This window comes from Homo sapiens, chromosome X, assembly GCF_000001405.40.
Source record: "Homo sapiens chromosome X, GRCh38.p14 Primary Assembly".
Taxonomy (NCBI): Eukaryota; Metazoa; Chordata; class Mammalia; order Primates; family Hominidae; genus Homo; species Homo sapiens.
In genome coordinates this window covers 49,897,548-49,923,275 of record NC_000023.11, presented here as the reverse complement: position 1 = coordinate 49,923,275, position 25,728 = coordinate 49,897,548, and the positions used below count along the sequence as shown (strand labels likewise).

Below are 25,728 nucleotides of genomic sequence, written 5' to 3'. Positions count from 1 at the left end.
ACAGCGCAGCAACTACTTTTCCGAGAGTTTCTCCACTTTGCTAAGACCCATACAAAACCAGCGGCAAGTCCAGAGCCGGAGGGAGAAGAGCCGGGCCTCGGCTGAGCTTTGCCAGCCTAAGTCACCCTACCCCAGTCCGGGAAAGGGGACGCAGGCGGCTAAACACTCCGATTCAAAAGCGGGGCGGGCTTGGCGCCGCTCCGCAAGGAAACTTCGCTCGGGCAACCCAGGGACCATAACTCGGAGAACAGGGCTGGGCTCCCGGGAAGACGCCGCTCAGCACTGGCTGGAACTAGCCTGTCTACCTCCTCTAAGCGCCGGGCTGCCAACGCCGGGCGCGGGGAAGCCCCATCTCCGGGGGTCCAAGCCAGCGGGATTGCGCTTCCCCTGTGTCGCTGCGCTTAGGGGGTGCTCCGGGGGTGGGCCGGGGGCCAGCGGCCCGCCAAGGACCTGTTGGGGAAGGGACAGCCCGTTTGCCTTTACCTGTCGCCGAGGTCCGGAGCGGCGGAGCCCGTGTCCGCCGCCGGTGGGCAGCGCGCTCGGTCGGCTCTGGCGTCCAGGACACCAAGTTGAGTGAGCGCCCCACGTAGCCGGCAGAGCTTCATTCACACAGCCCAGCCGGGGAGGAGGGGGAGCGAAGCGGGCGCGCGGCTCATGTGACAGGGCGCCTCGCGAGTATCGGCTCAGCCCAGCCAGCGTCTGCGCGTGCGCGCCACGCCGAGCTCACACCCGGCACCTCTACCCAGCCGAGATGAGGGGAGGCCCGCCGGGGAGGAGCTGCCAGGAGGAGTTTCAACTTGCGCAGCCGCAGTACGTCGGCCCCGCTCGCTGCCATATTTAATGAGGACTGGGCGGGCGGGTCCTATCCCAGTGCTGGGCGTGTCAGTTGCCTTTGAAAACGCAATGCCCCATTGTGTTTCACTATTTCCAGCTTGCAGTGCCTTTTTTTGCTGGGGAGAAGGTTTGTCCTTAGAATGAAACTGTCTATCCTGAGCTTTCGGCCCACAGAGTAATTAGTAGTAGAAATCTAATACTAATAACATTAGATCACATAATTTGAGCTGCTTCTTATGTGCCAGGCACTCTCCTAACCCCTTTACTTTTTTCGTCTCATTTGGTGTTCACAATAACCCCGAGGGTTATTTCTCCATTTTTACTCATAAAAATACACAGGCACAGAAAGGTTAAGTAACTTGTCTAAACTCATATAATAGTAGGAATAGGAATAGTGATCAAACGTAGTGATACTTTTAACAGCCAACTTGATGTTTCCAGCAACGCTGCAAAAACTATACTGCAGTTGTTAGTACTGTATTATCTCCATATTAATCATTACAAAACAGAGGCTCAGAAAAGCTGAAGTCACAGGACTAGTACGTGGTAGAACTGGGAATCCAACCTAGGTCTAACTTACTCCAAAGCCCTTACCCTAGGTTTGAAAGAAACAGCACACCGTTTTGCAGAAGAGAAAACTTAGGCCAAATGGGGTGCACTGACTCACTTAAGATGATCCAGCTAATTAGTTCTTGGCAGACCTGAGACTGGAATCCATATAATCCAAGTAATCTAACTAGAACCAGGGTACTCTACTGCAGTGAACAATTTGGAATGCCTACTTTGGACAAGCTAAGTGGTCAGGGATTTAAAAACCCCTATCCTAGCCCAATCAGCATAAGGCTACCGGGGACAAATTTGTAATCCGACATAGTCAGGCTTTGACCCATTGCAATATGAGAGACTGCACACGGTAGGCATTTCATCAAACAGAAAAACATGGAGTCATTATAGGATTGGAGAGAAGAGTGGAGTTTAGGTGAATTTTAAACAAAGCAGTGTTTTTGGTAAGCTCAAAGCAAAGCAGTACTGTCATTTGGGGTCACCATCAGGTCTGAACTGCAAAGTGAACCCAGAGTTGTGTTTCCTTGGGAACCACAAAATAAAGATAGATGTGGAATGTTGTGTCCAGATACCCCTTATCTGAAGCTCTGCACCTGGGTTGGAAATTGAGGCTGCTTCTCTGTGTCAAAGAAACTTATGTCCTCCAGATGCATGTGGGATGTTTCATTCTTACTGATACGATTTCAAGCAGAAAAGTTTCTGATAATCTACGATTTTAGAGAACAAAGTCTCTCAGTGAATAAAAAAGTGGTGGTCACTGAAATAAAAACATCGTTACCACTTTACAGCTGCAATATGTCCGCCAAAGAAATATTGTTCTCTGTTAAATTTGCATCTGGTTTTATCTGTGTGTTATTCCGGCCTGATGAATGGCCGGATTTTTATTTTTTCAGTCCAAAATTTTTTTGCTTTCTGAGCTGGTAACATTCAGTCCCTTCCTTCAGGCACTCATGGTGTATGGGATAGCCACAAATAACTAGAAAATATCAGTACAGGCCTCTAATAAAGGTAAATCCAAGTGGAGGTAACACCGTTGGCAAAGGTGAGCAGGCAGGAAGTTATATGTGAGGACCCGTGAGTAGTCCTATGTGGTTGAAGTTTAGGGTAAGGAAGTACAGGGGAATTGTGGAAGATAATACCCAGAAGGTAAATTGGGGCCCAATTTTGGAGCATCCTGAATATTGGACTAAGATTTATACCTAATTCAAAAAGTGACTGAGAAAGAATTGAGGTTTCTGAGCAAGGCAATCCTCTTTTGGAATTCATCTTTTAAAAGGTGAATCTAGAGTAATTGTTCAAGGAAAGGTTTGATTGTTTGCTTGATTTTTTTTTTTGTCATTGAAGTAGAAGAAACTGGAGCTTATATGTAGGTCGAGCAGAAAAACTACTGGTGAAATCAATAATAAAGAGGCAAGAGGCCGGGTGCAGTGGCTCACGCCTGTAATCCCAGCACTTTGGGAGGCCAAGGCAGGTGGATCACTTGAGGTCAGGAGTTCGAGACCAGCCTGGCCAACATGATGAAACCCCATCTCTACTAAAAATACATGGCTAGGCATGGTGGCTGGCGCCTGTAATCCCAGCTACTCAGGAGGCTGAGGCAGGAGAATAACTTGAACCCAGGAGGCAGAATTTGCAGTGAGCCGAGATCGCACCACGGCACTCCAGCCTGGGAAACAAGAGCGAAACTCTGTCTCACATACACACACAAAAGAGTCAAGAAAAGGAGGGGATAACTAATGGAGTAAAATAATTGAGAGGCGAGAAATGAGATTCAAAACACAAACTAACCTCGGACACCTCTTCCTCTGATACAGGAAAAAACGGTTTGAAGGATGGCAGTCTGGTTGGAAGGAGACATGTCACGAAACTGCCTCTGCAGAGCAAACATATTGGCTTTACTTAAAGTACATACAGGTTTATTTGGGAGAGCTGGGGAGCGAGTAGGAGGGGTTGGGAGGGAGCAAGGAATTGGGGGGAATTGGGAGTTATAAAAGGGCTGCAGTACACCCAGTTTACCACTTGGTGTCGCCACTGACCGATGACAGCTTGGAGGGCTCCAGTTGGGGGACGAAATCTCCCCCTCCCCCCAAAAAATGTGCATTTCAAAAAAAGAACATTTTATCTTTTGCGAATTGCAAAACAAAACAGAGTGAGCTCCAGAGCCAGACTGCCTGGGCTCAAAGCCAACCATACTCAGACGCTTACTAGCTGTGTCACCTTGTTCAAGTTATCTAACTTCACTGTTTCGGGTTTCTTACCTATAAAATGGGATAATAGGAGTAAATGTATTAACAGGTGTAGAACAGTTAGAACAGATTAAGCACTCAATAAATGCTAGCTTGTATTACTATTGATAATGATAATGATGATAATGAACAAGGCTCCTTCAGCCTTTGGATCCCCAAGTTTTTCGGAAGCTATTTGTGTGGTGAGTATAAATGTCTGTACAATACCTTCCCAAGCGAAGTGGTGAGAGTGTGGTGCTAATGTGGCAAAATTAACAGTTCAATCAAGAGGTACAGATTCTGACTGTTAACTTGTTTTCTTTCCCATGGCTCAGACCACTCTCTACAGAAATCCAGCCAGGTGTCCCATGTGTTTGTGCCCATGGAAGTGAGTGGGTTTGGCCAAGAGAGTGAAGATAGATCAACATAATGAGTCCTCTGCTCTCCTCCCCCTACCCTGGACAAAATTGAAAAGATGTTCCCACCCCACCTCCCATGATGGTCAACAAACTGTTAACAGGTCAAGAGCCATTTCAGGTCTTACAGAGCAAAGAGTAAATACATTGTGATCTTAAAGCTTATTAAAAAAAAACGGAATTTCTCTGTATAACAAAAGGTAGCACTTCAGACTTAATATTGCAAAAGAAAAAGCTTTAGAACAATAGACCACAGTGACATCTAAACTATCATGTCTAAATGCAGCTTTAACTTTCATTTTAAAATTGGCATTGCAAATAGAGACAGTTAGATGAGTACGTAGCCATGTAGAGTGGTAAGTGAATGTTTCTTGTATGGTTCTTATTTATTTGTTTCACATTTTTTGAGCCCTTACTATTATGCTAGCCATTGTGCTAGCCGCTAGAAATACTGATTTTAAAGTAAAATTTCCCGAGTGCCTAAGAAATGCCTGGGATAGTTCTAGAACAAAAAATGGGGCAGAATAAAAGAAAATGAACAAAGTTCTCTAGCTCAGGGGATCTATCAAAACAGTAGGTTAGGAAATGCTGATGATAAAGTGATCTGAAGTCATTTGTAATTGCCCTGTGCCTGGAGAGCAGGGTATCAAAATTAACAAATGGCTTCTATACCAAAAATGGATAGCCAACCTCATAACTGGAGAAATGCTAATGAAAGCTACCATGAGATACCACTGGCAAAGTTTTAAATATTTATAATAGATTGTGTTGGCCGGGCACAGTGGCTCATGCCTGTAATCCCAGCACTTTGGGAGGCCAAGGTGGGCAGATCACTTGAGCCCAGGATTTTGAAGCCAGCCTGGCCAACATGAAGAAACCCTATCTCTACTGAAAATACAAAAATTAGGTGGGTGTGGTGGTGCATGCCTATAATCCTAGCTACTCCGGTGGCTGAGGCAGGAGAATCACCTGAACCCAGGAGGCGGAGGTGGCAGTGAGCCAAGATCGCACCACTGCACTCCAGCCTGGGCGACAGAATGAGACTGCTTCAAATAATAATAATAATGATAGTAGTAATAATAATACACTGTGTTGACAAAGCAGGGGTGGGAGGGTAAGTCCTCTCATAAATTGTTGGTGGGAGTGCAATTAGTCAATTGAGGGCAATTTTGCAATAACTATAAAAATTAAGAATATATGAGACTTTGATCCCAAAATTTAATTTCCAGAAATATTTCCTTCAGTTATGTTTGCATGGGTGTAAAATGTTATATGAACGAGGTTATTCACTGTAGCATTGTTTGTAATAATAAAAACTGGGAAGCAACCAGATGTCCCTCAATAGGGGACTGATCAAATAAATAATGGTGCATCTCTCCAATGGAAAAAAAAAAAAGAAAAAGAATGAAAGGCCGGATGCAGTGGCTCACACCAATAGTCACAGCACTTTGGGAGGCCAAGGTGGGAGGATCGCTTGAGCCCAGGGGTTCAAGACCAGCCTGGGCAACGTAGTGAGAACTTGTCTCTAGAAATAATACAAACATTAGTCAGGTGTGGCATCACACCTGTGGTCCCAGTTACTCAGGAAGCTGAGATGGGAGGATCACTTGAATCTGGGAGTTCAAAGCTGCAGTGAGCCTTGATTGCACCACTGCACTCCTTCCTGAGCAACAAAGTGAGACCTCATCTCAAAAAAAAAAAATGAGAAAACTTTTTTATGTACTTATATGCAAAATTCTCTACAATACAGTATGTGGATGTAGAGCTATGCACCTTCTCAATTTTGTGCCATGGATGTGTATTACCCATTCAATTATATATCTTTAAAAGTAATATAGAAAAACAAGAATAGTGTTTGATTGAAGGATAATTTTTGACAAGTGACCTTCATGAGAAATTTTACTTTTTAAAAATTCCACGTCAGGCCAGGTGTGATGGCTCATGCCTATAATCCCAGCATTTAGGGAGGCCGAGACAGGTGGATCATTTGAAGTCAGGAGTTCGAGACCAGCCAGGCCAACATGGTGAAACCCCCGTCTCTACTAAAAATACAAAAAAATTAGCCAGGCATGGTGGTGCACGCCTGTAGTCCCAGCTACTTGGGAGGCTGAGGCAGAAGAACTGCTTGAACCCGGGAGTCGGAGGTTGCAGTGAGCCGAGATCACACCACTGCACTCCAGCCTGGGCAGTAGAGTGAGACTCTGTCTCAAAAAAAAAAAAATCCCATGTCAGGCTGCCCTCCATGTGAGAGAAGTCCAAGTCTAGCTAGAGTTGCTACTATTCTATGGCAGCAGATATGAGGGTTTGTTTAGGGAATGTTTTTGAGGATTTGAAGATCTTTCACTTGTAAGTTCCTCAGCTCTGTATAGACTTCTGTTCCATAGAGGAGTTAAAGCACAGTGGAATAGTGGTAGTGGCGTCTCTGAACCACTCTGCTACCTGTTCACCAACTAGCCTGCAAGCTCCTTGATGGCAGGCCCATGTCCTATATTTTACTTTATATTCCTTACAGCAGTGCTTTTCAAACTATTCATAGGAAAAACTCATTTTCCCTAAAATATATCGTGTATCAATACTTTTATAAAATACAATACCAATAAATTACTAGAAAAATGAAATAAAAACAAAAACACAAAATACAAGTGCAACTCTTTCATGATTATATTCAACAGACATAAAATTACTCTGACAAATTGTTAAGGTTTTGGAACACTTTCTTTCCATTTTATCCCATTCGATTCAAACCAACAACAAACAGTTTGTGGACCAGCAGTGGGCCATGGACCACACTTTGAATAATACCACCTGACAGGACTACCGCAGCACCCAGCTCATTGTAGGAATTCGATAAATCTTGGGTTTAATACAGCATTCCTATAGAATGTTTTCTACTTTGTGTTTTCACATCTATTTCCCTCTGCTATCCTCACACCACTTCCAGAGTTAAGTGGAGCAGATTTTGTCATTCCCATTTGGCAGAAGAGGAAGTTGAGTCACGCGGATTAAACGATTTCCCTGATCTGAAACAGCTACTTTATGTCAGAACCCCAAATTCGCCTCCGACTCTTACTGCATCTTGTGGCAGTGGCACTAAGAAAGCCTCCCAGTCAAAGAGTCCCACCAATTAGAGTAAAACCTGCCTTAGGTTTTCCAAATAATAGCAAGTTGCCTGCCTGGTGCAATAGAAAGAGTAGAGACTCAAATCTGGGCTTGAGCCAGTTTTACCTGTAATCCTGTCTCCTTATCTTTAAAGGAGATAATAGCAAATTCTCCCAAAGCTGCACTAAGAACTATATGGTGAATTAAATAGCCAGGCACGTAGTTCAGAAAGAATGATTGATATTAATTTTAGGCTCAGTTTAGAAGCCCTGCCTTGAAGAGTTTGCTCCTTAATCCTCATCACATGGAATGTGCGCCATCTACTGGTAGAGCAGGGAACATGGCTCTAGGAAGAGGCTTTGCTCTCCGTAGGAATCATGCCCTTTATTTCTTTTTTTGCATTGGCTGCTAGAAAGCTTGGAGCCAAATATTTGGTATTCCCCACCCCCGGCAAGTGAACAGGATTTTACAGATTGCATTTTATATTAAACTCACCTCTAGTTTCATTTTATTTTTCCTATCTGAAACCCTCCCGTGGCTCCCAAGCCATGGCTCAAGCAAGAGCAAAAGTCAAAGTCCTTACCTTAAGACTTCCATGTACACAGCTATGCATGATCGGGCCCCCTGTTAGTTCTCTGACCTCATCACCAACTACTCTCTTCCTTGCTCATACTGTTCCATTTTATTTTTTTCTTGACCAGATTATCTCATTTTTAAATCCATTTTGTAGTCACTTTGAATACCCTTTAGATTATGTAGAATAGTGATTTACTAAACTGGATAAAGTTTGACAAGAATATATTCTATTTTTTGTTATTGTTGATCTGTTATCCTGGCAACCTCTGTAATCTAACAATAGATACAAGAGTAGATAAGTTAACTCTAAAATATAATGCAGATAAAATAATTAAAATTTAAAATAAATCTTTATGACTCCAAGCCTATGTAGATTTAAGTGGCCACTGCCAATAGTACTGGGACACCATAACCTGAGTTAAGTGATATATGCATTTATTTATGTGCTGAACACTTACTGTGTGCCATTCACTGTTCCAGGTACAGAAAACTCTGTATCTTGGCCTGGGTTTCTTGGGGTTTATTCTGCTAGGGGTTTGGTCAGTTATTGAATCTGTAAGTTGTCTTTTCTCAAATTTTGGAAAATTTTTGTCATGATTTCTTCAAATACATTTTCAGCACCACACTTTTTTCTTCTCTCCTGCTGGGTCTCCTGTAACATGAATGCTATATCTGTTGTTATAGTTCCACAGGCTCTGTTCATCTTTTTTTTTTTTTTCCCAGTCTATTTCTGTCTGTTGTTCAAACTAGGTTATTTCTACTGTCTTATCATCTAGTTCTATCATTGTTTCCTCCATATTCTCCATTCTGCTGTTGAGCCCATCCAATGAGTTTTCAAAGTTTAGTTATTGTATTTTTTGGTTATAAACTTTCCGATTGGTTCTCCTTTATATCACTTCTTTGCTGAAATTTTCTATTTTTTCACTCATTTTTCTATTTATTTCACTCATCATTCTATTTTTTCACTCAAGTCTGGTCATAATTGCTCTTTGAAGCGTTCTTATGTTGGATGCTTTAAAATCCTTGTAATATAATCCCAACATCTGTGTCACATAGGTTTTGATGGCTGTTGATTTTTTTAAATTTGAGATTCTTCTGGTTCTTGTTATGACAAGTGATTTTTGTTTGTATCCTGGACATATTAGGTGTTATGCAATGAGACTCTGGATCTTATTTAAATCTTCTGTTTTAACTGGCCTTCTCAGATACCCTGCCAGGAAGGGGACCATCATGTTATTTCCAGTTGGAGATGGAAGACCATGTATTTACCATGGGACAGGAGAGGCACCTCATTCCTATTGGGAAAGGGTGAAAATCCAAACTCTCCATTAGGCCTCCACTGATAGCACTCAAGCACTGTGCCATTCCTCAGGTTCCAAGGTCCCTGGTTGGTCTGCCTTCTCTTCATCATTCAGAATCATCGTGTTTGTTTTACATATAATCTCCAGGGTTTTTCTTAGCAGGAGGAATAGGGATGAGTGCATTCATTCCATCTTGTACACAATCAGAAGTTCCCTCTTTTCCATTTTCTTTTAAATGCACTCTTATCAAGCTTTCATCTTCCATGACTCTACCAAAATGGATCTCGTCAAAGACACCAGTGACTTCCACATTGCCAAATGTAATATTGTTCTCATTTTATTTAACCCATCAGTAGAATTTAACTCAGCTGATCTCTCTCTTCTTCTTGAAACATTTTTCTTCACTTGTTTCCAGGACACTGTTCTGGATTTTCTCCTATCTCATGGCTACTTTCTTAGTTTTCTTATGAGTTCCTCCGTGGATTCCTGATCTCCTAAGGTGGGAGTGCTCGAGGAATCAGTCTTGTCTTCATCTCTCCTCTCTCCCTTGGTCATTTCATCTGATCTGATGGCTTTAAACACCATCTACTATCAACTCTCAAATTTATATCTCTGGCCAAACCTCTTCTCTAAATTACAACTTGTACATCTAGTTGCCTATTTAATATCTCTACACTTGTATACCTAGTACATATTTCAAATTTTAATATGTTAAAAATGACACTTCTTATCTCTACCCTCCCCAGACTCGCTTGTCCTTCATTATTCCCAGTTTCTAAGGCCACAAGAGAGGTCATTCTTGACTTTTCTAACACCTTTTTCCAATCCATCAGCAAATCCCGATGTGCTACTTTGAAAATAAATGCACAATATGACTCCTTCTGATCACTGTCATTATTATCACCTTGGTCCAAGCTACCATGCTCTCATCTGCCTGCATTGCTGAAATCACCTCCTAACTGCTGTTTCTCCTTCTATCTTTGCCTTCCTGCTTAACATAGTAACCTGGGCAATCCTTTTACAAGAGAAGTCAGATTCTACCATCCTTTTTATGAAACCCTCCCATGGCTCTCAAGCCATGGCTCAAGCAGGAGCAAAAGTCAAAGTCCTTCCACTGGCTGTACATGATCGGGCCCCTGTTAGTTCCCTGACCTCATCATCAACTGCTAGCTTCCTCGCTCATACTGTTTCCACCACACCAGCTGTTTCCAGTCACGCCAGCATGCTTCCATCCAAGAGCTCTCCCACTTGCTTTCCCTTGACCTGGAATCCTCTTTCTCCAGGTACCTCCAGGAACTTTCACTTCCTGCAAGTGCTTTCTCATAGGTCACATTTTCAAGTGTCACTTTCCCTCAAGGCCTTCTCTGAGTACACTATTTTAATTTATAACTCTCCAGATCTCCTTATGTACATCTTCACAGCTTATTTTTTTTCATAGCATGTACCTCCTACATATACCATGTAATATTCTTATTTATCTTATTACTCATCTGTCTGTACTTCCACCCTTCCCTAGTGTAAGCTTGGTGAAGGCCTGAACTTTTGTCTTTTTGTTTACTGATGAATTTACTTTTCTTTTTTCTTTCTTCTTTTTTTTTTTTTTTTTTTTTTTTTTTTGATGATGGAGTCTCACTCTGTTGCCCAGGCTGGAGTACAGTGCTGCAATCTTGGCTCACTGCAACCTCCACCTCCCAGGTTCAGGCAATTCTCCTACCTCAGCCTCCAGAGCAGCTGGGATTACAGGCATGCACCACCACACCTGGCTAATTTTTGTATTTTTATTAGAGATGGGGTTTCACCTTTTGGCCAGGCTGGTACTGAACTGTTATGGAAAGTAGTGTTGCAGTTTCCTAATAAACTAAACATACATTTACTATATGGTCAGGAACAAGTTCCAGATCCTGTATGGGAAGAAATTGAGGGGGCCCATGACTGTCCTGTGCCCTGCAATGGCCACCTGGTGTCAGTCATCAGCCAGAAGAGCTTCCTGTGGATCCTGAGGGCCAGTGAGCCGACAGGCATGGCCTTGGTGGACACCAGCTATACATCCACCAGATGAGTAGCGTGAAGAACTTCATCTGGCTGCAGATGTCACTACCAAGAGGAGAGCAAGATACTGAGCCACATGTCCCAGGACGCCAAGTTCCTCAAGGTGTACACCATGGACTTCATGGCAGGCAGTGCCTAGCCAGTATCCTGGGGTCCAGCAGAGACCGCAACCTTATGGTGTACATGTACCCATCAGAAACTGCTAAGCTGGGCAGACTTCCATGTAGCCACCTGCGTGTACACATTCTGGAGGACCCTATGCCAGGTAGTCCCCCAGAGGCCCAGCAAACAGTCGGTGCGGGGGTGGGGAGAACACACTGGTTGGTGGTATTGGGCGTCTGCTGCTGGTGAAGAAAACCTCCCAGGGGCTGCTGATGCTACAGAATGCTCCAACCACCATGCTGCCCCACCTTGCCGGCCTCAACCTCCTGTGCCTTTCCGGTGCTGCACATGGACCATTGCATCCTAGAGAATACCAAGTAGAGTGTCCTCAACCAAGAACTGCTCAACCTTTGCCTTTGCCTCAGCACCATGGGGTGTGTGTGATTAGCTGATGGAAAAAATCCACGGCACGCCTGACATTGTCCTGAATGACTGTAGGAGGCATACAGTGTCACTGCCTCTTCTAGCCCATGGATGCCGCTGCTGCCCCTGTACATTGCTTCCCAACCCCTTATTGTACAAAACACAAGGAAAGTGGGAGAAAGAAAACAAATGATAGACACATACATTAACAAATGGATGTCAAGGATATTACAGTGAGTGCAAAAAGGCAATCTCAAAAGGTCACATATTATAGGATTCCATTTATATCATATTTTCTATTTGAGAAAATTACAGAGATGGAGAGCAGATTAGTGGTTGCCAGGGAATAGGGAAGGTGGGTGAGAGGGGAGTATGTGTGGCTATAAAGGGGTAGCAGGAAGGAGTTCTTTGTGGTAATGGATCAGTTCTGTATCTTGATTGCTATGGTTGTTACACAAACCTACATATATGATAAAATGGCATAGAATTATTCACACACATTGTACCAATATCAATTTCCTGGATTTGAAATACTGTAGTTTGTAGGATGTGACTATTGGGGAAATCTGGGTAAAGTTTACAAAGGGCCTCTCTGTACTATTTTTGCAACTTCATGTGGTTTATAATTATTTCAAAATAAAACGTTCAAAAAATGGGCAAAGAGAAATGGCAGAGATTGAATATAGAAAATTCTAGCGAGTAATTTTGCTGTAAAGGGGAGCGGAGATAGGGGCTAAATAGTGAGCAAGGGATGGTAGCTCAAAAGATGTTTTAAATTTTTGAGTGGGAGCAAAAATAGCATGGTTAAATCTGATGAGAAATAACCTGTTGGCGGCCAGGGTTGGAGGGGTGGGGGTGGGATTTATACTACAAGGGCAAGAGAGGAGGGGACTGCCAGAAGGGGATAGGATCTAGTGAACAAGTAGTGGGGTTGACCTAGCTAGGAGCAGAGACGGTTCATCCATCATAATGGGAGAAAGGGTAGAGTACACACACAGATTTAGGTAGGTGAAAAGATATGGTGGTAGAAATTTGTGGGCTTTGTTTTCTGATTGCCTCTGTTTTCTCAGTGAAACCGGAAGCAAGGTCGTGGGCTGAGAATGAGGATGTGTGCTGAGGCATTAGAGGCTTGAAGGGAGAGGAGAAGGTATAAAATAGTTGTCTAGGAAACCAGCAGAGTAAATGGACTAGGATAATATTATGTGATTTCCTGGCAACATTAAGTGCCCACTTGAGGTTTGTGGGCTTGAATTTAAAGTGAGAGTATCATTTTGTGTTTTTCCCCAGCCATATTCAGCTCTGGGGTTGGAGGAGAGGAGAAGGAGTTATTAATAAGGACAAGAGAGAGGCAAGGAGCTGCGACTAGGTGGAGGATGAAACTGGAAGCGGGGAGTTTCAAGGAATTGAGAGGATGAGATGTTGGAAGGATCAGGTATTGAGATATTAGGATCATAAAGAATTAAGACAAGATTAATTGGAGAGAGTGACAGTGAGACAGAAGCCAAAACTTTTGAGAAACTGGAGGGGCACTGATGTTCTATAAATAACAGCAAGGTAGGATGGTGGGTAATATACTCCGTGACAGGGAATTCAAAGATTGGGGATTTTTAGGGAGGAGAAAGGGAGAATGATCTGGAAGCAGCAATGAGGGGCCTCAGGATATGGGATAAAAAAAAACACTGCTTGAAAGGGCTGTAAAGTCCTTGGGGGGATCCAGATTTCAGTTAACTCAAGAAGGTGAGGGGAGCATTCAGCAAACAGGGAATGGATACAGGGGATTTCGCTGATGACTTTGGGTTCTAGATGAGGGGACTGTATAATTTATCATCCAGTCTTGGACACTCTAGAGAATGACAGAGGCAGGACAGTGGTACATCATGTGTAAACTGAAATTGTCCTGGGCAAACCAGGACTGTGGTTTTAGAGGACACAATAGAAGGATTTCAGGATCTGGAGAGGGCTAAGAGGTAAGAATAGGGAAATATACAAAGTTGTATGAGGATTAGAACATGAGATACACAGGTAGTGGCCAAGGAGTTCCAGGGTTCTTGTCATGACTGACATAAACAAAGTTGAAAGGTATAAAGGACTTAGTTCTGTGATCTTAAGGCAGATAGTCATGGCACCTCTGTGATTGTTGATGGGGAGGAAATGGGTGGGTGATCAAGGCTTGCTCTTCACTTCTGTTAATGGAAATGCAGAGTCCTGGAGAGGGGAGCTCTATTCCTAGCCAATAAAGACAGCAATGTGATCCTAAGCCCTGCTGAAGAAGATCTAGATATTTCTGAAATTCTTCATGCTTCCAATATGAATTGTTTTAAAAACTGGGACTGGACTGACTACAGGTGAGGAAATTAACTGACCTAGTTGTGAGAAGCTAAGGATGGCAGAAACAAGAGACTTAGTGGTGTTTCCCACATAAACTATAGGAAAACACACTGACATTGGCAAATGTAGAAAATACCAAGCTTAAGAGGAGAAAGAACAGGATCCATCACTTGGATCCAAAAAAACTAAGTGATCAAGAACAAAATGGTTCACATGCTGTTTAACTAACTACTCAGGGTGCTCAGTCCTTATTTGTCTTTTCTTTTCTATGTTCGTTCCTAAGATTACTTTATCCAGTCTCCTGGTTTTAATTACCATCAAGAAGCTGATGGCTTCTAAATTTACCTGTTTAGACCTAATTTCTCCCCTAAATTCTAGATCATATATCTAACTGCTTTCTTGACATCTCAACTTGGATGTCTAACAGATGCCTCAAACTTAACATGTTGAAAACTGAATCCTTAACTTTTCCTTAAAAACTTGTTCCACCCCTAGCATGCTCCATCTCAGTTGATGGAAAACTATCCTTGCAATCACTCAAGCCAGAATACCTTGAAACTACAGTCAGCCCTTATCCGCAAATTAACCAACCTCAGATTGAAAATATTCAAGGGGGTAAAAAACAATTAAAATACAAATAAAATAAAAAACACAGTACAACAACTATTACATGGCATTTACATAGTATTAGATATTATAGTCTAGAGATGATTTAAAGTATACGGGAGGACGTGTGTATGTTATATACAAATACTACGCCATTAAGACTGGAGCTTCCACAGATTTTGATGAGGGGAGAGCTGGAACGAATCCCCCATAGCAGATATAGAGGGACGACTGTATCAGCAAATCCCTTTGCTTTCTCCTCGGAACATATTCAGAACTGAACCACTTCTCACCTTCTCTACCACTGCCACACTGTTCCCAGACACCATGATCTCTCACTTTGTTGCTGCAATATTGTCCTAACTGGCCTCCCTGAGTCTACGTAGCCTTACCACCCTATATTCTATTCACAACACAAAAGTCAAAATGATCCTTTTGTAACACAAATCAAATTGTGTTACTCCTCTGTTCAAAACCCTCCAGTGGCATTCCCATCTTACTCAAATGAAAATCTATACTTCTTATGTCCTTATGATAGCTTACAAGGAAGGCCCTATAATCTGTTCCATGCATAACTCTGTAACCTCATCTTCCACCATTCTCCACCTCACTCACTCCTCTAGCCACAGTGACTTCATGTTGCTGTTTTTAGACCTGCCATGCTCTCTCCACCTCAGGGCCTTTGCCCTTGCTGCTTTCTCTGCCTGAAAAGCTATCCCCCCCTTACCCCCACCTTTGCAAGCTCCCCCACTTCACTTGGGTCTCTATTATATGTCTTCTCCTTTCCTTCTACCACTTACTCTAAAATACCACCCCTCTTTGTCCTCCATTTTTAAACTTGATTTATTTTTCTACAATGCTGTATATTTTTCTCATTTTATTTCTTATCCCCTTCTCTCACTAGAATATAAGTTTCATGAGGGTGGGAACTTTGTCTCATTTATCACTACATCTCCTAACAACAGTACTTGGCACATGGTGCGAACTCAAAATTTTGATTGAATGGAGATTAAAGTATAAATAATTAAATAGATCAAATACATTTTAGATGAGATCATTTTAATATATTAAGTAAAATATTACTTTTAGACTTATTCCTAGATACCTTATAGAGTTTTATTCTACTGCAAATGAGATCCTTCTTTAACAATTACATTTTATGTGCTAATTGCTACTATGTAGGAATTCTAATGATACTATATGAAATTCTTGTATCTAGCAACCTTGTTGAATTCTCTTATTCTAATAGTTTGTTTATAGATTCTCACAGATTTTATACATAAACATATCATCTGTGAATTATATTTTTATATTCTTTTTCTTTTTGTTTTCTTTTTGTCATTTTAGTGCATTCGTTAGAACTTTCAGTATCATGTTGGAAAATAATGGCACTGTTTGCCGTGGGTTTGGAGTAGCTATCCTTTTTCACTTTTGTGTCTGTTTTGTTGTTTGTTTTTAAATTATGAATGAATGTTGAATTGTAGTTGCTTTTCTACAGCTAACATAATCATATGGTTTCTCTCCTTTTTATCTATTAATGTGGTGAATTACATTAGCAGATTCTCTAATTAAGCCACTCTTGAAATAAACCTTACTTGCTTATATATTTTAAAAAACATTCATTAGGGAATAAATCTGCTTGTATTTTAGCTAGGATTTTTCACTTATGCTTACACTCAAGATTGGCCCATAAACTTTTCATGTGCTGTCTCAGTCAGGTTTGGGCATCAAGATCATTTTAGCCTCAAAAATATGTAACATTTTTCTATTCACCAAGAAAGTTGAGGTTAGATATTTTTTGAAGATTCGCTAAAAATAAATAAATAAATAAATAAATAACAAAACAAACAAACAAAAAACTATGATGAAGTCGTTTCGGCCTTCTTCGAGGGGATTTTTATTTTCTAACAATCTGACTTATTTAATGGTTACTAGTCTATTCAAATTTGAAAGTTCTTTATATAGTTTTGATACAAATCCTTTATATTGAGTATAGATTTTTAAATATTTTATACTAGCCAGTGGCTTGTATTTTCATTCTCTTAACTGTGTCTTTCTAAAAACGGAAGATTTAATCTAATTTATTAGTTTATTCTTTTATGGACTCTGCTTTTGGTGTTACATATAAGAAATATGTGCCTAACTCAAAGTTAAAAAAAATCTTCTACTATGTTTTCTTCCAGCGGTTTTATAGCTTTTGTTTTTTTCATTTAAGCCTATGACCATTTTGAGTTTTTTTTTTATTTTTTAAATTTTGTTATTTATTTATTTATTTATTTATTTTTTGAGACAGAATTTCACTCTTGTTGCCCAGGCTGGAGTGCAATGGCACAATCTCGGCTCACCGCAAACTCCGCCCCCCAGGTTCAAGCGATTCTCCTGCCTCAGCCTGCCCAGTAGCTAGGACTACAGGCATGCACCACCATGCTCAGCTAATTTTGTATTTTTACTAGAGACAGGGTTTCTCCATGTTGGTCAGGCTGGTCTCGAACTCCTGACCTCAGGTGATCCGCCTGCCTCAGCCTCCCAAAGTGCTGGTATTACAGGCATGAGCCACCATGCCTGGCCTGAGTTAATTTTTTAATATGGAAAAAGACATGCATCAAAATTTACTTTTTTCCATATGAATATTTAATCAGTTGAGCACCATTTGTTGAAAATATTATCACTTATCTAATAAATTGCCTTTCCATTCTTGTAAAAAATCAATTCTGTGGGCCTATATTTGAACTCTCTATTCTATTCCATTGATCTATTTACCTATATTCATGCCAGGACCACACTGTATTGATCACTGTAGCTTTATAACAAGTCTTGAAGTCAATTATAAGTATTCCAGTGTTATTCTCCTTTTTCAAAATTATATTTGACTATTCTAAGTTCCTGGAATTGGTGTATGGATTCTAAAATCAGCTTGTCAATTTCTACAAACAAATTTGATGGGATTTTGGTTAGAATTGCATTGAATCTATAGACCTATCTGGAGACAATTGACATGCTAACAATATTCAGTCTTCAGCTCCATGATCATGGTACACCTCTCAATTTATTTAGGTCTTCTGTAATTTCTTTCAGCAATGTTTTGTAGTTTTCAGTGCATAGATATTACACACATTTTGTTAGATTTTTATCTCTAGGTTTTTATATATTTTAAGCTATAGTAAATGGCATAGATTTTTTAATGGAATCTGATAATTCGTAACTAGTATATAAAAATGCAATTGATCTTTGTGCATTGATCTTGTTTACTACAATATTGCTAAACTCCTTTAAGAGTCCTAGCAGCTTCTTTTGTGAATTCCTTAGGATTCTTTACATACACTGTCATGTCATGTGACTATAAAGAGAGTTTTACTTCTTCCTTTCCACTCTGTATACCTTTTATTTCTTTGTCTTGCTTTATTGCACTAGCTAGAGCCTCTAGTAGAATAATGAATATAAGTGGAGAGCCCATATTCTTCCTTTGTTCCTGATCTTGGGAGCAGAGCAAAAATATGCTTTCACCATAAATATGATACTACGTGTAGATTTTTTCTGGATGTTCTATAATGGGTTGAAGAAGTTCTCATTTTTGTTTCCTAGTTTGCTGAGATGTTTTTTATTATGAAGGATGTTGGATGTCGTGAAATGCTTTTCCTGAATCTGTTGAAATGCCATATGGCTTGTTTTTTTTTTAATCTTTTAATATGGTGAATTATGTTGATTGGTTTTTTAATGTCACACCCTCCTGGTATGCTTGGATTAAATCATTTGTTCATAATGTATTTGATGATTTACTCAAATTTTGTTAAGAATTTTTGCATCTATGTTCATGAAGGATAGTGATCCATAGTTTTTGTTTTTAAATTTTTTGTCTCATTTGGGTATTAGAGTAATGCTGGCCACATACCATTAGTTAGGAAGTGCTCACTTCATTCCATCCTCTTTTATGTTCTGGAAGCATTTATGTAGAATTTGTGGGGTTTTTTTCATAAATGTTTGGTAGAATTTATTAGTGAAGCCATCTGTGACATGAGTTTGAGAAGGTTTGTAAATAAAAATTCAATTTCTTTTTTAGTATTGGGGCTGTTCAGATTATCTGTTTCCTCAGAGTGAGCTTTTGTAGTTTAGATCTTTCAGATTATTTGTTCATTTTATCCATGTTGCTGGATTTATTGACAGCATGTTATTCATAATATGCCTTCATTTTCCTTTTAGCATCTCTAGGATCTATAGTGATGTTCCCCTATTTCATTACTGAATACCAGTAAATTGCACTTTACTCTTTTTTTCTGATTAGTCTAAATAGATATATATGAATTGTATTGATTTTTTCAAAGAATCTACTTTTGGTTTCAATGATTTTTTTTCCTTGTTGTTTTTCTATTTCATATTATAGTGATTTCTGCCCTACTGTTTGTTTCTATCCTTCCGTTTAATGTATGTTTGACTTGCTTCTTTTTTTCTGGTTTCCTAAGATGGAAGCTTAGGTCATTTATTTGAGACCTTTCTTCTTTTCTGATGTAAGTGTTTAATGCTATAAGATTTCCTCTAAGGGATGTGAAGAAATAGGAATGCTTTTACACTGTTGGTGGGAGTGTAAATTAGTTCAACCATTGTGTAAGATAGTGTGGCGATTCCTCAAGGATCTAGAACTAGAAATACCATTTGACCCAGCCATCCCATAACTGGGTATATTCCCAAAGGATTATAAATCATGCTGCTATAAAGACACATGCACACGTATGTTTATTGTGGCACTATTCACAATAGCAAAGACTTGGAACCAACCCAAATGTCCATCAGTGATAGACTGGATAAAGAAAATGTGGCACATATACACCATGGAATACTATGCAGCCATAAAAAAGGATGAGTTCATGTCCTTTGCAGGGACATGGATGAAGCTGGAAACCATCATTGTCAGCAAACTATCACAAGGACAGAAAACCGAACACCACATGTTCTCACTCTTAGGTGGGAATTGAACAATGAGAACACTTGGACACAGGGCAGGGAACATCACACACTGGGGCTTGTCGTGGGGTGGGGGGTTGGGGGAGGAATAGCATTAGGAGATATACCTAATGTAAATGACCAGTTGATTGGTGTAGCAAACCAAAATGGCACATGTATACCTGTGTAACAAATCTGCACGTTGTGCACATGTACCCTAGAACTTAAAGTATAATAATAATTTAAAAAATAAAGTACTATTGACCATAACAAAATTTCCTCTAAGCACTGCTTTAGTTGTCACCCTCAATTTTTGATATGTCATAGTTTCATTTTCATTCAGCCCAAAATGCTTTCTAATCTCCTTTATGATTTCTTTATTTTAAAATCAAGAGGATTTTTTTAATTAAGATACAACAGGAAATATAAAGGAAAAATATGAAATAATCTTATTTTCACTGAAGATAATTAGTATCTGAAATATAAGTTCATAGATATCAAGATTCATATATTTTCATATTTGTACTCTTGGTATCTAGCATAGATTATGGCATGTGGCAAATATTTATGTTTAATGAATTAAAACTTTAAAATAGAAATGAGTTTATGCTTTACATATTAAACTCCACTCCTAAATTTTGCATGAATTTAAATGACTAATGACTTTCCCCCTCATTTTTATTATTTAATAAACATGCTGACCAGGCACGATGGCTCACGCCTGTAATCCCAGCACTTTGGGAGGCCGAGGCAGGTGGATCACAAGGTCAGGAGTTCGAGACCAGCCTGGCCAACATAGTGAAACCCCGTCTCTACTAAAAATACAAAAAATTAGCTGGGCGTGGTGGCAGGCGCCTGTAATCCCAGCTACTCGGGAGGCTGAGGCAGGAGAATCACTTAAGGTTGCAGTGAGCCGAGATCACGCCATTGCTCTCCAGCCTGGGGGACAGTGCAAGACTCATCTCAAAAAAAAAAAAAAAAAAACAAAAAAGCTAAATTAATGTGAGTTCTAAAAGAAATCAAGATTTTTTAAATAAGAAAAAATATATATTTATCTAAGTAATTACCTTTTTCTGTCCCTTTATTTCTTTATGTAGATTCACTGCTTTAAGTAGGTATTTATCTATTTTTTTTGTGTAGACCTGGTATTTTCCTTCTACCTGAAAGACTTCCTTTAGCATTTCTTGTGCTGGTCCACTGGTGATGATTGTTTCAGCCTCTGTGTGCCTGCAAAGGTCTCCATTTTTCCTTCTTTTTGAAAGTATTTTGGCTAGGTAGATAATTCTAGGCGGACAGTACTTTCTTTCATTCTTTTAAATATACCACTTCATTGTTTTCTAGCTTACATGGTTTCTGATGAAAAATATACTATCATTTTTGTCTTTGTTCCTCTGTACATAATGTGTATTTTTTTCTGATGCCTTTTAGGATTTTTTCATTATTACTATTTCTTGAGCAACTTGATTTTGACATCTTTATATTTCTTGTGCTCAGAGTCTGTTGAGTTTCTTATATTTGTGGGTTTATATATTTATCATATTTGGGGAAATTTTGGCCATCACTTATCCTAGTAATTTTTCTTTGCCTGCCTCTTTCTCCTCTCCTGGGAATTACACACATATAAGGCTGTTTGCAGTCATCTTACAGCTCACTAATGTCCTGTTCATTTATTTTCAGACTTTTTCCTGTTAATGTTCTTTTTTGGATGATTTTTATTGCCATGTCCTCATGCTCACTAATCTTTTTTTATTGCAGTGTCTAATCTGCTGTTAATCCCATCCAGTGTATTTTATATCATAGACATTATATTTTCATCTTTACAAATTCAATGTGGATCTTTTTTATATCTTCCATTTCTCTTCTTAACATGCTTATGCTTTCCTCTACATATCTGAAATATATTTACAAGTTGTTTTAATGTCCTTGTCTATGAATTATATCATCTGTGCAATTTCGGGGTCTGCTGCTATTGATTTTTTTTTCCTTATTATGGGTCATTTTCCTGTGTCTTTGCATACCTGATCATTTTTTGTTGGATAGTAGATATTGTGAATTTTATATTGTTTGGTACTAAATTTTTTATATTTCTTTTAATAATTATTAGCTTTTTCTGAGAAGCAGTTAAGTTACTTGGAAAGAATTTGATCCTTTTGAAGCTTGCTTTTGATCTTTGTAAGATGAAATCTGGAAGAGTAAACAAAAATAAAATTGAACTTTTCTTGTTGCCAAAAGAGAAAGAGACCTTTTCTCTCTCCCTTTTCGGTAATATTTCCTTGAGAAACTTCTCATTTGTGAATCCTTCTTCTGTCCCTTTGATATGTATGTAAATCTCTTTAAAGACTAAATAAGCCTCTTGCCAGCCTTATAACTCAGGAATGTTTTTCTTAAGGGACTGGAAGCCATCTCTTTGAAATGTAAACATCAAGGAAGATAGCAGCCCTATATCTCCCTGTCATCCTGGGAGTTTAGCCTAGGTGCCTTGCTCTAAGCTGTAAGCACCTGCTTGTCATAGAGATATGAGAAGTTTCATATTTCCTTCAGATAAAGGCAATTAACTACCACAGATGGCTACTCCAATTACCAGGTGAACTTAGGATGAACTATAAAAGAATGTATAGCAAACAGTGCTGTCAAGTTCTCTTACATAAGAACAATTTATCATTTATCTTAAGAACATGTTTATAATGGATACATTGCATACATAAGAATGGGGTTATTTTTGTTTTTGCAATCTCATTAGCAGATTGCCTGTGATGCAAAAGAGTCTGGTTTAATGCTCATTCAATATAACAAAACTGTTTTCTTTCTTTTCTACCATTCATGGAGAGAATTTCATGGGTTGGCAGGAAATTTTACTTTTAATTTTTCCGTAACAGATTAAAGCAGCAGTTTAAGGCTAATATTGCCCTCCACTGAAGCAGTACTTCTTTGAGTACTCAACCCAAAGCCCCAGCCCTATTTGAGCTCCAAAACGTGTCCTCCATGCTCGTCTTTTGTGATCCGTTCCCTGGCCTTGGGTAATTTTCCCACATGCATGTGCTGACTGGCAATCAGCTAAAGATTCAAGGGGACTCTGTGCATATTTCCAGAGTGCTCTCCTTCACCCCCTTTCTTTCTCTTCACCACCCACATCCTATCCTGTGAATCTCATCACTTTGTCCACTTTCTTGAATTTGCTTTTTTTCTTGCTTTTCCCCCAGCTTTATTGAAATATGACTGACAAATAAAAATTGTATATATTTAGCATGTACAACATGATGTTTTGGTTTTTGTTGCTGTTGTTGTTATTCTTTTTTTAAATTTGTGTTTTAATTTTTCCCTGCCCCCTCCCATGCACCTCCTCGCTGCGGGCAGGGAGGGAGTGGGAGAGTGGTCACACCATGGGAACAACATGATGTTTTGATATGTGTGTATGTTATAAAATGATCGCTGTAATAAAGCCGGTTAACATATTCATCACCTCACCGTGTGTGTGTGTGTGTGTGTGTGTGTTTAGAACACTTAAGATCCACTCTCTTAGTAAATTTCAAGTAAACATTACTAACTATTGTCACTATGCTGTACGTGAAGTCTCCAGTACTTGGTCACTTGTGTCTCCTTGACTCAGGGAGTCCGCCAGATTCTAGTTAGATTCCCCATGCCTGTGCTGTGACCTGAAAGTGAGCTGAGATGATCATAGGGCTTACTTTGTTTCCATTCTTTCAAGGATCAGTGTCCTTTGCTGCCTGATGTCCAATGCCTGATAACCATTGTTTTATATATTTCATCCATCGTTTTTAGTTGTTTAAGACAAAAAGATAAACTCAGTTCCTTTTGCTTCATCATGAGCACAGGAGAATGTTCTTGTGTTTTATTTTAACCATATTTTATTCTCCCACCACCCTTTCTTGACTCTCTTGGTTTAATCACATTTTCAAAATCCCTGCCTATTTCCCTAATGATTTTGAAATGATTAATTATATGCCCTTTCTTTTAGACATGACTATTTTTCCATTTATTGTCCTAAACAAATGGTGAGCTTTCTTGCTATATTTCTGGCCCTGTGGGTGAAACTTTACCAGTTTTCTTTGTATAAAAGGGTGGCTCATGGCTTAATGGATGGAACTCAGTTCCTGCTTTATGGCCTCATTGTTTGTCTCTGTGAGCATATTAAAACTTCAGCCCCTAAAATGTAATCGTTCTCAAACTTAAAAATTACTGGGTTTTGTTCTGGGTAAAATGAAGTGAGCAAACTGCACAGTGTCTCCCTCACTAAATACAGCTATAAAACATAGACAGAACACATGGAGCAGCTATTTGAGTACTTTGAAAATAAATACAGAAGACTTAATTTATTTGGAGAAGACTGGATTTGGAGAAGACTAGATTTCATAATACTCTAAATTATCAGTGAGTTTACCACTTTATTTTTTCATGAGTTCTTTTGAACTCATGGCAGTCCCAAATCCAAAAGTGTATAATAAAAACTACAAAATGCTGATGGAAGAAATCAGTGAATACCTAAATAAATGGAGGGACATATCAGGTTCATGAACTGGTAAATTTAACATAGTAAAGATGTCAATTCTCCCCCAAGTTAATGTATATACTTAATGCAATTCCTGTCAAAATCCAAGCAATATTTTGGTCAATATTAACAAGGTATATTAGTCTGTTTTCACATTGCTATAAAGAACTTCCCTGAGACTGGGTAATTTATCAAGAAAAGAGGTTTAAGTGACGTACAGGTCCGCATGGCTGGAGACACCTCAGGAAACTTACAATCATGGCAGATGGGGAAGTAGGCATCTTCTTCAAAAAGCAGCAGGAGAGAGTGTGAACATGTGAAGGAGTAACTGTCAAACACTTATAAAACCATCAGATCTTGTGAGAACTCACTCACTATCATGAGAACAGCATGAGGGAAACCGCCCTCATGATCCAATCACTTCCCTTCCTCAATGCATGGGTATTACAGGTCCTTCCCTCCACACATGGGGATTACAATTTGAGATGAGATTTTGGTAGGAACTCAGAGCCAAACCATATAATTCCAGCCCTGGCTCCTCCCAAATCTCATGTCCTCACATTTCAAAACCAATCATGCCTTCCCAACAGTCCTCCAAAGTCTTAACTCATTTCAGCACTAACCCAAAAGTCCAAGTTCAAAGTCTCATCTGAGACAAGCCCCTTCCACCTAGGATCCTGTAAAATCAAAAGCAAAATAGTTACTTCCAAGATACAATGGGGGTACAGGCATTGGATAAATGCTCCCATTCCAAATGGGAGAAATCGGCCAAAACAAAGGGGCCCCATGCAAGTCTGAAATCCAGTTGGGCAGTCATTAAATCTTGAAACTCCAGAATAATCCCCTTTGACTCCATGTCTCACATCCAGGACATGCTGATGCAAGGGGGGGCGGCTCCCATGGCCTTGGGCAGCTCCTTCACCAGCTGGTGTTGAGTGCCTGTGTCTTTTCCAGACACACATTACAAGCTGTTGGTGGATCTACCATTCTGGGGTCAGGAGGATGGTGACCCTCTTCTCACAGCTCCACTAGGTATTGCCCCAGTGGGGACTCTGTGTGTGGGCTCCAACCCCATATTTCCTTTCCACACTGCCCTAGCAGAGGTTCTCCATGAGCACTCCACCCCTGCAGCAGACTTCTGCCTGGACATCCAAGCAGAAGGTGCCAAGTCTTGGGGCTTGCACCCTCTGAAGCAATGGCTCAAGCTGTACCTTGGCCCCTTTTAGCTAGATCTGAGCATCTGGGATGCAGGCTACGAAGTCCCAAGGCTGCACAGAGCAGCAGGGGCCCTGGGCCCTGCCCAGGAAACCATTTTTCCCTCCCAGGCCTCTGGGTCTGTGATGGAAGGAGCTGCCACGAAGGTCTCTGACATGCCCTGGAAACATTTTCCCCATTGCCTTGGTGATTAACATTTGGCTCCTCATTACTTATGCAAATTTCTGCAGCTGGCTTGAATTTCTTCCCAGAAAATGGGTTTCACTTTTCTACTACATCATCGGGCTGCAAATTTTCCAAACTTTTATACTCTGCTTCCCTTTTAAACATAAGTTCCAATTTCAAATTACCTCTTTGTGAACACATAAGACTGAATGCTTTCAGAATACTCCAAGTCACATCTTGAATGCTCTGCTGCTTGCTGCTTAGAAATTTCTGCTGTCAGATACCTTAAATAATCTCTCTCAAGTTCAAAGTTCCATAGATCTCTAGGGCAGGGGCAAAATGCCGCCAGCCTCTTTGCTAAAGCATAGCATGAGTGACCTTTA

At 40.1% G+C, this 25,728-nt stretch overlaps 1 protein-coding gene and 1 pseudogene across 6 annotated transcripts in view, besides 2 other annotated features; one reads left to right on the top strand and one right to left on the bottom strand.

The window, feature by feature from the left end:
* Positions 1-680, bottom strand: part of CLCN5 (chloride voltage-gated channel 5) — a 176,635-nt gene extending 175,955 nt beyond the window's left edge. For all 6 annotated transcript variants that reach the window (NR_199781.1, NM_001440757.1, NM_001127899.4 and 3 more), the window contains exon 1: positions 484-680. The gene's annotated coding sequence lies outside the window, so the exon portion shown is untranslated. The remainder of the gene's footprint in view (positions 1-483) is intronic.
* Positions 369-418: a silencer, noted in NCBI's record as "silent region_20849". NCBI's record gives its function as "represses an Ori minimal core promoter by ATAC-STARR-seq in GM12878 lymphoblastoid cells {active_cell/tissue: GM12878}" and the evidence as "EXISTENCE:reporter gene assay evidence [ECO:0000049][PMID:35858748]".
* CPSF1P2 (CPSF1 pseudogene 2) lies at positions 10,895-11,687 on the top strand (annotated as a pseudogene).
* Positions 12,589-12,698: a silencer, noted in NCBI's record as "silent region_20848". NCBI's record gives its function as "represses an Ori minimal core promoter by ATAC-STARR-seq in GM12878 lymphoblastoid cells {active_cell/tissue: GM12878}" and the evidence as "EXISTENCE:reporter gene assay evidence [ECO:0000049][PMID:35858748]".